Below are 12873 nucleotides of genomic sequence, written 5' to 3'. Positions count from 1 at the left end.
AAGGCAATGGCAACAAAAGCCAAAAATTGACAAATAGGATCTAATTAAACTAAAGAGCTTCTGCACAGCAAAAGAAATTATCATCAGAGTGAACGGGAAACCTACAGAATGGAAGAAAATTTTTGCAATCTATCTATCTGACAAAGGGCTAATATCCAGAATCTACAAAAAACTTAAACCAATTTACAAGGAAAAAAACAAGCAACCCCATCAAAAAGTGGGTGATGGATATGAACAGACACTTCGCAAAAGATGACATTTATACAGCCAGCAAACATATGAAAAAAAGCCCATCATCACTGGTCATTAGAGAAATGCAAATCAAAACCACAATGAGATACCATCTCATGCCAGTTAGAATGGCAATCATTAAAAAGTCAGGAAACAACAGATGCTGGAGAGGATGTGGAGAAATAGGCACGTTTTTACACTGTTGGTGGAAGTGTAAATTAGTTCAACCATTGTGGAAGACAGTGTGGCGATTCCTCAAGGATCTAGAACCAGAAATACCATTTGACCCAGCAATTCCATTACTGAGTGTATACCCAAAGGATTTTAAATCCTTCTACTATAAAGACACATGCACACGTATGTTTATTGCAGCACTGTTTACAATAGCAAAGACTTGGAACCAACCCAAATGCCCTCAAAGATAGACTGGATAAAGAAATGTGGCACATATACACCATGGAATACTATGCAGCCATAAAAAAGGATGAGTTCATGTCCTTTGTGGGGACATGGATGAAGCTGGAAACCATCATTCCCAGCAAACTAACAGAAGAACAGAAAACCAAACACTGCACGTTTTCACTCATAAGTGGGAGTTGAACAATGAGAACACATGGACACAGGGAGGGGAACATCACACACCAGGGCATGTTGGTGGGGTGGGGGGCAGGGGAAGGGATAGCATTAGGATTAATATCTAATGTAGATGACAGGTTTATGGGTGCAGTAAACCACCATGGCATGTGTATACCTATGTGATAAACCTGCACGTTCTGCACATGTACCCAAGAACTTAAAGTATATAAATAAAGAAAAGAACTAGAAAGGCAAGAGCAAAATAAACCCAAAATTAGTAGAATAAAACAAATAAAGATCAGAGCAGAAATAAATGGTTTTGAAATGAAGAAAATACAAAAGATCAATGAAACAAAACGTTGTTTTTTTAAAGTTAAACAAAATTGAAAAACCTTTAGTTAGACTAAGAAAAAAAAAGACGACCCAGATAAATAAAATCAGAAATCAGAGATGAAAAAGGAGACATGACAACCAATACTGCAGAAAGTCAAAGAATCATTAGTGGCCACCACGAGCAACTATATGCCAATAAACTGGAAAATTTAGAAGAAATGGACAAATTCCTAGACACATATAATCTACCAAGATTCAACTATAAGGAAATCCAAAACCTGAACACATCAGTAACAAGTAAAAAGACCAAAGCTATAATAAAAAGTCTCCCAGCAATGAGAAGCTCAGGACCTGATGGCTTCATTGATGAATTCTACCAAGCATTTAAAGAAGACTACTAACACCATTTCTACTCAAACTATTCAGAAAAACAGAGGAGGAAGGAATACTTCCAAACTCATTCTATGAGGCCAGTATTATTCTGATACCAAAACCAGACAAAGACACATCAAAAAAGAAAACTACAAGTCACTATTTCTGATGGATATTGATGCAAAAATTCTCAACAAAATACTTGTAAACCAAATTCAACAACACATTTAAAATATTCTTCATAGGCTGGGCGTGGTGGCTCATGCCTGTAATCCCAGCACTTTGGGAGGCTGAGGCGGGCGGATCACTTGAGGCTGGGAGTTTGAGACCAGCCTGGCCAACATGTTGAAACCCCTTCTCTCCTAAAACTACAAAAACTAACTGGGCATGGTGGCATGGGCCTGTAACCCCAGCTACTTGGGAGACTGAGGCATGAGAATCACTCAAATTCAAGAGGCAGAGGTTGCAGTGACCCAAGGTTGTAACACTGCACAGCAGCCTGGGCAACAGGGTGAGACTGTCTCAAAAAAAAAAAAAAAAATGTTATTCATCATAGCCAAGTGGGATTTATCCCTGGGATGCAAGGATGGTTCAACATATGCAAATCAATCAGTGTGACCTATCATATCAACAGAATGAAGGACAAAAACCATATGATCATTTCAATTGATGCTGAAAAATCACTTGATAAAATTCAACATCCCTTCCTGATAAAAACCCTAAAAACAACTGGATATAGAGGGAACATACCTCAACTTAATAAAAGCCATATATGACAGACTGATGTATCATAATGAATGGGGAAAAACCAAAAGCCTTTTCTCTAAGGTCTGGAACACAAGAAGGATGCCCACTGTCACCACTGTTATTCAGCATACAGTACTGGAAATCCTAGCTAGAACAATCAGACAAGAGAAAGAAATAAAAGGCATCCAGAAAGGAAGAAGTCAAATTATCGATGTTTGCAGATGATATGATCTTATATTTGGAAAAACCTAAACAACTCCATTAAAAAACCTATTAGAACTCATAAACAAATACAGTAAACTTGCATGATATAAAATCAACATACAAAAGTCAGTAGCATTTCTATATGCCAACAGTGAACAATCTGAAAAAGAAATTAAAAAGTAATCCCATTTACAATGGCCACAGATACAACTAAATACCTAGGAATTAAAGAAAGTAAAAGTTCTCTATAATGAAAAACTATAAAATGCTAATGATAGAAATTGAAGAGGACCCACCAAAATATGGAATAATATTCCATATTCACAGATGGAAGAATTAATATGGTTAAAATGTCCATACTATCCAAAGCAATCCACAGGTTTCAATGCAATTCCCATTGCGATGTCAATTACATTCTTCACAGTAATAGAATAAACAATCCTAAAATTTATTTGGAACCACAAAAGACCCAGAATAGCCAAAGCTATCCTGAACAAAAAGAACAAAACTGCAGGAATCACATTATCTGACTTCAAGTTATACTACAGAGCTACGGTAAACAAAACAGCAAGGTACTGACGTAGAAACAGACACATAGACCATTAGAATAGATTAGAGAACTGATAAACAAATTCATATGCCTAAAGTAAATTCATTTTTAATAAAGGTGCCAAGAACACACATTGGGGAAAAGAGAGTCCCTTCTATAAATGGTGCTGGAAAAACTGGATATCCATATGCAGATGAATGAAACTACACCACTATTGCTCACAAAAATCTAATCAAAATGGATTAAAGACTTAAATCTAAGACGTCAAACTAGAAAACTGCTGCAAAAAATATTGCAGAGACTCTCCAGGACAATGGTCTGGGCAAAAATTTCTTGAGTAATACCCTACAAGCACAGGAAACCAAAGTAAAAATGGACAAATGAGATCACATCAGGTAAAAAAAGCTTCTGCACAGCAAAGGAAACAATCAACAAAGTGAAGAGACAACTCATGGAATGGGATAAAATACTTGTAAACTATCCATTTGACAAGTAGTTAATAACCAGAATACATAAGAAGTTCAAACAACTCTATAGAAAAAAATCAAATCATCTGATTTAAAAATGGGGAAGAGATTTGAATAGGCATTTCTCAAAAGAAGAAATACAGATGGCAAACTGGCCCACAAAAAGGTGCTTGACATCAGTCATCATCAGAGAAATGCAAATCAAAACTACACTAATATATCATCTTATATGGCTTATATGCAAAAGACAGGCAATAACAAATTCTGGCAAGGATGTGAAGTAAAGGGAACCCTTGCACACTGTTGGTGAGAATGTAAATTAGTGGAACCACTATGGAGAACAGTTTGGAAGTTCCTCAAAAAACTAAAAATAGAGCTACCAATGATCCAGCAATCCCACTGCTGAGTATACACCCAAAAGAAAGGAACTCAGTATACTAAAGGGATATCTGCACTTCCATGTTTGTTGCAGAACTGTTTACAGTAGCCAAAATGTGGAAGCAACCTAAGTGTCCATCAACAGATGATGGATAAAGGAAACTGTAGTACTTATACACAATGGAGTACTATTCAGCCATAAATAAGAATGATATCCTGTCAGGTCACTATGTTAAGTGAAATAAGCTAGGCACAGAAAGACAAACATCACATGTTCTCACTTATTTGTGGGATCTAGAAATCAAAACAATTGAACTCATGGAGACAGAGAGTAGAAGCACGGTTACCAGAGACTGAGAAGGGTAATGGGTGCATGAGAAGATGTGGATGGTTAATTGGTACAAAAAAGTTATTAACAGAAAGAGTGAATAAGGCCCAATATTTGATAGCACAACAGGGTGACTACTGTCAGTAATAATTTAATTGTACATTTAAAAATAACTAAAAGAGGCCAGGCATGGTGGCTCATGCTTGTAATCTCAGCACTTTGGGAGGCCGAGGCAGGCAGATCACTTGAGGTCAGTAGTTCAAGACCAGCCTGGCCAACACAGTGAAACCCTGTCTCTACAAAAATACAAAAATTAGCCAAGCGTGGTGGCGGGCACCTGTAATCCCAGCTACTCGGGAGGCTGAGGCAGGAGAATTGCTTGAACCTGGGAGGTGAAGGTTGCAGTAAGCCAGGATTGCACCACTGCAGTCTAGCCTGGGCAACAAAGTGAGACTCTATCTCAAAAATAAAATAAAATAAAGCTAGGCACAATGGCTCATGCCTGTAATCCCAACACTTTGCAGGCAGATCATCTGAGGTTGGGAGTTCAAGACCAGCCTGACCAACATGGAGAAACCCCGTCTCTACTAAAAATACAAAATTATCTGGGTGTGGTGGGCACATGCCTGTAACCCCAGCTACTTGAGAGGCTGAGGCAGGAGAAATCACTTGAACCTAGGAGGTGGAGGTTGCGGTGAGCCAAGATCGTGCCACTGCACTCCAGCCTGGGCAACAAGAGCAAAACTCCGTCTCAATCAATCAATCAATCAATCAATGTAAAATAAAATAAAAATAACTAAATGAGTATGATTATTTATAACACAAACGATAAATGCTTGAGGGACGGGTACCCCATTTTCCATGATGTGATTATTATGCATGCATACCTGCATCAAAACATCTTATGTACCCATAAATATATACTATGTACCCACAATATTTAAAAATACAAAATTTTTAAAAGAGCTGAAGAATATCTTTGATACTCAGTAGAATGGACATGACAAAGGAAAGAATTAGTGAGCCTCAGTTTATGTCAATAGAAACTTCTAAAGTAAAAACCAATGATGGGCCAGGCATGGTGGCTCACACTTGTAATTCCTGCACTTTGGGAGGCCAAAGTGTGAGGATCACTTGAGGCCAAGAGTTCAATACCAGCCTGGGCAACAGAGTGAGACCCCATCTCTACCAAAAAAAAAATTTGGCTGGGCGTGGTGGCTCACACCTGTAATCCCAGCACTTTGGGAAGCCAAGGTGGGCGGGTTACTTGAGGTCAGGAGTTTGAGTCCAGACTGGGCAACGTGGCGAAACCTCATCTCTACTGAAAATGCAAAAAATTAGCCAGGCATGCTGGTGCATGCCTGTAATCCCAGCTACTTTGGAGGCTGAGGCAGAAGAATTGCTTGAACCTGGGACAGGGAGGTTGCAGTGAGCCAAGTTTGCGCCACCTCACTCCAGCCTGGGAGACAGAGCATAACTCTATCTCAAAAAAAAAAAAAAAAAAGAAAAAGAAAAATGAAAAAACCCCCAGAATATCCAAGAATGGTGAGACAACTACAAAAGGTGTAACATACACTTAATGAGAAAACCAGAAAGAGAAGAATAACAGAAAGGATCAAAGAAACATTTGAAGCAATAATGACTGAGAATTTCCCAAAATCGATGTCTGAAACCAAACCACAGACCCCAAAATTTTAAACAACAACATGCAGGGTAAATACCAAAAAATCTATATGTAGGCATATATAGATTATGATAATAAAATATATGTCTTCCCAGGTAATAAATTTGGTTTGACAAACCATACTGTAAATCACACTATAAACTGAAACAGAGATGTAGTATAAACAAAATCATAAGACCAATGCTAGAGTCGCAGAAAGTTATGTGTAATGTAGGTAGTGAATAAAATATCTAAAATATACAAAGAGCCCCTACAAAGTGAGATGATAATTTAGTGGGCAGATGATATCACCACTGACAATAAATGTTTTTATCTTAGTATGTTTGTACTTTATAAAAATAACAATAGGCCGGGCATGGTGGCTCACACTTGTAATCCTAGCACTTTGGGAAGCCAAGTCAGGTGGATCAACTGAGGTCAGGAGTTCAAGACCAGCCTGGCCAACATGGTGAAACCCCGTCTCTACGAAAAACACAAAAAATTAGCTGGGTGTGGTGGTGGGTGGCTGTAATCCCAGCTACTTGGGAGGCTGAGGCAGGAGAATCGCTTGAACCAGGAGGGTAGAGATTGCAGTGAGCTGATATCACACCACTTCACTCCAGCCTGGGCCAAAGAGTGAAACTCTGTCTCAAAAAAATAAAAAATAAAATAAATTTTAAAAATTCTTTAAAATTGACATATAGGTAAGAAACTGAAGCTTCATTTCCAAGAGGCTTTAATTGTCCTGGGCATTATTTTTCTTACTGAGGAGCTAGCTGCCAAAATCAGGTGAACTGTGTAGCTGTGTAGATTCAACTTGGAAGATTTGCCCCAGGTTATGCAGCTGGGTAGTAGCAAGAGTGTGTGCTGTACCTCTGGTTCCCATCCCATGGTTCTTTTATATCTTCCATGAAAAAAATGACCCCCCAACCTCCTACAAAGCATAAGGATATTTTAATAAAAATATACATGCCCATACACGAGACCCAGAAGAGCTCATGTGTGTCTCATAAAAATTGAAGCAAACCTAGAAGGCATGAAACATCTGGCAGCCAATTCCAGATGAAGCTTAATTTTGCCTACCTTTGTTTTATTATCTTTTTTCTTTTTCACAGAGGGTCTCTTGAGCAGTGTTGTGAGTTTAACCTAGCAATCCATGGAGCAGAAGCAGGAAGCAGGCTCAGTGTCCAGCAGGTGGATAAAGGGGACCTGTACAGTTATGTCAATTGTGCAGTTATGAGAATTTGGAAGGCTCAGCTCCCATAGAGCATATCATTTATTCCATCCAAATAACATTTAATGGTTTGGGGGATAGTGATCTCCTGACCTTGCTTGACCTCTCAGAATGAGGGGGATTCAAGCACAGCATCTGTTAGTCACAATTCATAAATTAATTTGGTTCTTTGGGGTCTGTCTACAATGCTGTGTAGCAGCAGGGAAAAATAATGGTGAGCTGATAAGCAGAGCCATTGCATCCCATAGATAAAACAACTGTGAAGAGACTTTCCATTTTAAAAAACCAGTTATTGTGTTGTTTTCTAGATAGTCATAATGTCATCTGTATGGTTAAAAATGTAACCAGGACATAACACTGCCAGTCCCTGGAACAAGAAAAAGTTTTCTCTCGGTATGAAGAGAAAAAGGAAGCACAGAGCTTAGGCTAATAACCCCCAGAAAAACTCCACTGAAAGAGAATCACTGATCTGTGCTTTCAGCCTGAAAATTCTGATTGCTGCTCTCATCTGTTCTTATTTCTGGCTGTAGCAACGCCATCAAATGATTAATTTCTAATAAAACCACAAAAAGTTTTGTACCTAAAAATGAGTGGGACTCTTAGCTGGCAATCCTCTGACAATGTCTAAGCTGAGAATAATTACAAAGCTCTGGTGTCTCTCATCTTCTGCCTCCAATAGACACCTCCAAGATATTTGTTACTTTTGCCTTTAACTGGAATGGTAGCATATGAATGTATGTATACACAGACACACATTTAATGCAAGCATTTGTTGCGGGAATGACAGCCCTCATTCACTCTTCACAAAGCTTTCAGGCTTACAACTCTCTAGATATGCTACATTTCTCATAGACATTTCTGAGGTAGTAGATGACAAATTTAGTTCATATACATCTCAAAAACTATATTATATAAGTAAATGGTAGGTAATGGCAGGGATTCTTATCCCTGGTATCCATTGTTTGGTATCTAAGACTATCCAAGGTTGATAGTCTTAGATAGTGGGGAATCTGATTTAAAGCTGTAGCTGCTTATCCAGCAGATTGGCTAGATGGCAGATCTGCCAAATGGGCAGAGTGAGTTCCTAAAAGAGAAAAAGTAACCAGAAGAATTCTACCATGGAGGATTTAAAAAATGATATTATTGATTTTAAAATGTAAAATTTTACTAACTTCTACAGTCCAAATTAATTAAATTTAGAGGTTCTTTAGAAGACCATTAAAAATATTTTCTTTAATATTTTAGCTACACAGATATATGTCAGAAGGCAACTGGAAAACTTTAATAACTTTTCTAGAAGGTTGGTCTGGGCACCTCTTACAATACCCCATGTCCAACGATGCTGCCATTCTGATCTGTAGATATGGGGCCAGCTCCCTGCCTACCAGACCTGGCTTTGATATGCTGCTTATCCAAGCCACAGACCTTCCACCCCCGGCAGACACCATCCCTCTGGCTATATCCAAACACCTGCAGAGGCCTTGATGTTTTTTTCTGTCTGGGTTAATTTGTAAAGGGTTTTCCAGTATACCCAGAGTTACTAAATTTTGTTCAATTCAGTGTCCTTGGGGAAGTACTAATGTACCATGCAGGGCCTGGGTTTTACTTTGGCTTTTATAGTTTATTTCCATTTTCCCATTTCATTTCTTAAAAATCTGTAACTAGGCTCTGTGATGGCATTTAGTGTACATTACTTAGTAGCTATACAATAATTTAAGTATTAGAACATGGTAGGTGTGCCTTGAATCAAACAACAGGGTCAGATGTGCCAGGACATGAATGCAGAGTAGGCCTCTGAGGTGGTCCAACAGCTGGACCCAAAGGACTGAGAGGACTAAGAGTTCAGATCAGAACAGTGCTGAAAACACAGGGCCAGATGATTTGCTACAAAACTTTTCAGGGGCCAAAGTAGCAGTGAACAGGTGCAACCCCAGATTGGCTCTGTCTAGCCCTGTCTATGATGATGCACATTTTAAAAGTGTGTCAATACCTGTGTGCCTGTAGCTCTCATGTTAATAGACAAACAATGGTTTGTCCTTCCCAATGTCAATGGCATTAAAATGAACTTTTTGTTTTTCTTTGTTTCAGAACAAGTTTGCCCTCTCCCTTGTTTTCCAGATACTCCGGTATCTGGAGCATCCTCAGAAAATATACTGGAATGGTAAATGAGCAGCTTTATCACATGGCATTAAGCAGATATGTTTAATTCCATATTCTTTAGAAAGGAATCTAGAAGTTTGCAAAAAAGTGATGCACAACATAATCCAGAATGCAGAATAATGCCTAACAATGTTGATGGAAATCTATGAGAATTGTTAACTTGTGAAAAGTCTTTGATTAGGTTTTTTCTGGTAGAATCTGAGCCACTCTTTCTGCCATTTATTATGGTTTTAATGTGTCATTTCAGTCTAAGAAAACAGGAACAGAAAATGTTCTTTTTCTGTTATCACAGCACATTTGTATTGCTCCATATACTTACCCACAAACTCTCAGAAAGAATAGACCCCCATAGTGGAGAATATAGTTTTACTTACACTTCTATGCATAGTGCAAGTTTCTGTACTTCTAAGTTGTAAGTGTGGTATATTAAATATTTGGAATATGTCTCTGCTTAAGTTATCTGTGCAGGTGGATCTGATCTGGGGGAGGTAGGGAAGATGGCAACATTTCCTATTATATAAATCCTTGAATTTCCTTTAAGGTAGCAGTCAACACTACCACCCCGATTCAGTCAGGCTAGAATTCTGAGTAAAGTTATCTTAACTCTTCCTGGTATGACCTTTGACCACTAAGAATGATGAACATTTTAAAACATGTGAGTCCTGTGGTACACAAGAATCTGCCTGGACACTACTGCTTAACATTCTGTATTTGAGTGTGCAACCTGGGAGCACTCCCAGAACCTGCCCTGTGCTGGGAAGCATAATCACCTTCTACACATTTTATTCTGAGGTTTGAAATCCTGTCAACTGTGGATGTGCCCACTTTGGCATTTTTCTAATGTCTCTGTTCTATGGGTGAGTAATGTAATCTGAAACTTTCTAAGTGTAATTTCCAAGGAACTAACCCAGAAACATTAATTTTAAACAAATATTTTTTGAATCCTGCATAGAGAGTAGTTTAGCTAAACTCTGTAGCCCGATCATGTGGAGCTCTGGGACAGGAGTGTATCTGAGAGGTGGATCACTTTCATGCTGACCTGGCAGAATAACTGAGGTGGCTCCAACCCTTCCCCCTGATGAGACCTCAATGCAACTCGCTGAAAGCTCCTCCAGCCACCTCTGTCAAGACTGGGACATCTGCCCACCATTGGGTATTGCACTTACCCACCTGCTTTAGCCACAGTGGGTTCTTACCCAGGAATACTTCCCCTACTGGCCTGAAGCCTGACCATCAAACAAGTAGATACAATAATAGAGGAAAATAAATTAAAAAGTACATGCCACAGGGAAATGAGATAAACTTCAAGAGACCTCTACCATTCCAACTCCATAGAAGACAATGAACTTGCTCACACATGAAGCACACTGCTACTACAACCAGCATGAGAAAGTCATCATGCAAAGAATCTCTATAACCAAGGAAATCTTACAAAGTCTTCACCCCTGAAAGCACCAATAACTGAATTAGGCTATAATTAACTATAAGCATTAAAGTCACATCCTTAAGGGGAAAAGTTAAAAAAAGAAACAGTCAAATCAAACATAAATTCAAGAATAATTGGAAGAAATAGTCTACCCCAATGAGAAGGAACCAGAAAAGTGACTCTGGTAATAAGACAAAACAGGGTTCTATAACACCCCCAAAAGATCACACTAGCTTTCCAGCAATGGATCCAAACCAGGATGAAATCTTTGAAATACCAGATAAAGAATTCAGAAGGTTGATTTTTTTTTTTTCTTTTTGAGACAGAGTCTCGCTGTCACCCAGGCTGGAGTGCAGTGGTGCAATTTCGGCTCACTGCAAGCTCCGCCTCCCAGGTTCATGCCATTCTCCTGCCTCAGCCTCCTGAGTAGCTGGGACTACAGGCGCCCGCCACCACGCCCAGCTAATTTTTTGTATTTTTAGTAGAGATGGGGTTTCACCATGTTAGCCACAATGGTCTCGATCTCCTGACCTCGTGATCTGCCCGCCTTGGCCTCCCAAAGTGCTGGGATTACAGGTGTGAGCCACTGTGCCTGGCCAGAAGGTTGATTATTAAGCTATTGAAGGAGGTACCAGAGAAAGGTGGAAACTATCAAAGAAATTTTAAAAGCAGTTCAAGATATGAAGAATGTTCTAGAGAAATAGATATTATAAAGAAAAACCAGTCACAACTTCTGGAAATGAAAGACACATTTAGGGAATTACAAAACGTCATGGGAAGTTTTAACGATAGACTAGAACAAGCAGAAGAAAGAATTTCAGTGTTTGAAGACAAGACTTTTGAATTAACCCAATCAGATAAAAATAAAGAAAAAAGAATCAAAAGAAATAAATAAAGTCTCCAAGAAATATGGGATTATGTAAAAAAAAGCCAAACCTAAGAATAATCAGTGTTACCGAGGGAGAGGAGAAAACAGAAAGTTTGGAAAAGTTACTTGAGGGAACAATCGAGGAAAACTTTCCTGGCCTGGCTAGAGATTTAGACACCCACATCCAGGAAGCTCAAAGAACACCTGAGAAATTCACTGCAAAAAGATCTTCACCAAGGAATATAGTAATCAAGCTATTTAAAGTCAAAATGAAGGAAAGAATTATAAGAGCAGTAAGATAAAAGCATCAGGTAACCTATAAAGGAAACCCTGTCAGACTAAGAACAGACTTGTCAGCAGAAACCTTATAAGCCAGAAGGGATTGGGGTCTGATCTTCAGCCTCCTTAAACAGGATAACTGTCAGCCAAGAATTTTGAATCCAGCAAAACTAAGTTTTATAAATGAAAGATAAAACAGGTCATTTTCAGACAAACAAATGCTGAGGGAATTTGACACTACCAAACTAGCACTATAAAAAATTCTAAAAAGAGTTACAAACCTTGAAGCAAAAGCTCAGTATGCACCAGAATAGAACTTTCTGAAAGCATAAAATTCACAGGGCCTAAAAACAATAACACAATGAAAAAAAATATAGGTAATAATTAACATGATGAAGAGAACAGTATCTCACATCTCAACATTAATGTTGAATGTAAATGGCCTAAATGTTCCACTTAAAAAGATACAGAATGGATTTTTAAAAATTACAAACCAAATATCTGCTGTCTTCCAGAGACTCACCTCACACAGAAGGATTCATATAAACTCAAGGTAAAGGGTGCAAAAAGATATTCCACACAAATAAAAACCAAAAGCAAGCAGGCATAGCTATTCTTATAACAGATAAAACAGACTTCAAAGCAACAACAGTAAAAAAAGACAAAGAAAGTCATATGATAAAAGGATCACTCCAAGAAGAAGATATTACAATCCTAAATTTATATGCACCTAACACTGGAGCTCCCAGATTCATAAGACAATTACTACTAGACCTACAAAATGAGATAGACAGCAACACAATAATAGTGGGAGACTTCAATGTACTACTGATAGCACTAGACAAATCAGAGACAAAGTCAACAAGGAAACAATGGACTTAAATGATACACTAGAATAAATGGACTTAGATATTTACAGAACATTCTACCAAAGAACTGCGGAATATACATTCTTCTCATCAGCATGTGGAACATTCTCCAAGATAGTGTTAAATACAGTGAGTTCTAAATTTCTCTTCAAAGAATCAGTATGTCAGTATGTTCAGTTCTTTGTTCT

At 38.4% G+C, this 12873-nt stretch overlaps 1 pseudogene across 1 annotated transcript in view; it reads right to left on the bottom strand.

Moving 5' to 3' along the window:
- Positions 1–12873, bottom strand: part of TPRXL (tetrapeptide repeat homeobox like (pseudogene)) — a 128678-nt pseudogene that overhangs the window by 79797 nt on the left and 36008 nt on the right. The gene's annotated exons all lie outside the window — the stretch shown is intronic.

Source organism: Homo sapiens, chromosome 3 (genome assembly GCF_000001405.40).
Source record: "Homo sapiens chromosome 3, GRCh38.p14 Primary Assembly".
Classification (NCBI taxonomy): domain Eukaryota; kingdom Metazoa; phylum Chordata; class Mammalia; order Primates; family Hominidae; genus Homo; species Homo sapiens.
This window is presented reverse-complemented; position numbering and strand designations above follow the sequence as displayed.